Below are 1,991 nucleotides of genomic sequence, written 5' to 3'. Positions count from 1 at the left end.
GTGAACCAGGGAGGCAGAACTTGCAGTGAGCCGAGATTGCGCCACTGCACTCCAGCCTGGGCGACAGAGCGAAACTCCATCTCAAAAAAAATAAATAAATAAAATTAATAATAATAATATTAAATAAAATAAAGCAACCTGTGAAAGCATTTTGCTCTCACTTATTTGACTTTCTTTCATTTAAAACTTGAATTTTCCTAGATGTCACCAGTTCTTGAATACATTCGGTCATAAAAAACATCAATAAAATTGTCTTTTTATTGGAAAAGAGTGATTGTTCCAAATTAGGGCTGCAAGATTTAGCAAATAAAAATATAAGATAGCCAATGAAATTTGAATCTCAGATAAACAATAATTCTTTAGTATCAGTATGTCCAATGCAATATTTGGGACATATGCTAAATAAGTGTTTCTTATCTGAAATTCAAATTGAACTGGGCACCCTGTATTTTATCTGACAACCTTAATACAAAATGAAATGAAATTTGTTTTGGTACGGGATAAAGTATGAAGTCAGATAACCTAGGTTTGAATCTTAGCCACTTAATAGTTATATAAACTCTGGGAAATTATTTCACTTGGTCAAGCTGTAGTTTCCCTATCTCTAAACCTATTAGATAGTAATACCTGCTTTGTATGGTTATTGCGAAGATTTTTTTTTTTTTTTTTTGAGACAGAGTCTCACTCTGTCACCCAGGCTGGAGTGTAGTGGCGCGATCTCAGCTCACTGAAACCTCCACCTCCCAGGTTCACGCCATTCTCCTGCCTCAGCCTCCCTAGTAGCTGGGAGTACAGGCGCCCGCCACCACCCAGGCTGGAGTGCAGTGGTGCGATCTCGGCTCACTGCAAGCTCCGCCTCCCGGGTTCAAGCCATTCTCCCGCCTCAGCCTCCCGAGTAGCTGGGACTACAGGCGCCGCCACCATGCCTGGCTAATTTTTTGTATTTTTTAATAGAGACGGGGTTTCACCGTGTTAGCCAGGATGGTCTCGATCTCCTGACCTCGTGATCCGCCTGCCTCAGCCTCCCAAAGTGCTGGGATTACACGTGTGAGCCACCGCGCCTGGCCTTTTTTTTTTTTTTTTTTTTTTTTTTTGTGAGAGAGTGCAATCACAGCTCACTGCAGCATCAACCTCTTGAGCTCAAGCAATCCTCCCACCTCAGCTCCCGAGTAATTAGGACTATAGGTGCACACAACCATGCATGGCTAATCTGCTTTTCTTTTTTGTAGAGACAGTGTTTTGTCACGTTGCCCAGGCTGGTCTCTAACTCCTGGGCTCAAGCAATCCTCCCACCTCGGCCTTCCAAAGTGCTGGGATTACAGGCATGAGCCACTGCATTTGGCCAGAATTCCTTTATTTCCAAATAAAAATTTGAGAATTCTTTCAGTTTGAGAAATCATCCTTGGGTCTATGTGAAACAAGATGATGCCTTTCTAAAACTTTCTGAAGTAAAAGGGGCAAGGCGGGCATACAGGGCCAGGTGGAGGATGGGGAGGTGGCTGATGTGAAAATTCCAGATACCTGGAGGAAATCATTTCTGTCAAACCCAGACAAAATAGAGCCAGTAAGGAGAGGAGGCTCAAGCTTACATTCTGCGATAAACGATTTCCAAGGACTTTCTATAAGCCCTTCACACATCTCCTGCTTTAATAAGGTTTATCACTAGACATTTTTTTTTTTTTTTTAGATGCAGTTTCCCTCTTGTTAGCCAGGCTGGAGTACAATGGCGCGATCTCGGCTCACCGCAACCTCCACCTCCCAGTTTCAGTATATTCTCCTGCTTCAGCCTTCCCAAGTCGCTGGAATTACAGGCATATGCCACCAAGCCCGACTAATTTTGTATTTTTAGTAGAGATGGGGTTTCTCCATGTTGGTCAGACTGGTCTCGAACTCCCGACCTCGGCCTCCCAAAGTGCTGGGATTACAGGCATGAACCACCGCACCCAGCCTATCACTAGACATTCTTTAGGACTGCAGTGATTCAAATAAAA

Source organism: Homo sapiens, chromosome 9, assembly GCF_000001405.40.
Source record: "Homo sapiens chromosome 9, GRCh38.p14 Primary Assembly".
NCBI classification, from domain to species: Eukaryota; Metazoa; Chordata; class Mammalia; order Primates; family Hominidae; genus Homo; species Homo sapiens.
This window is presented reverse-complemented; position numbering follows the sequence as displayed.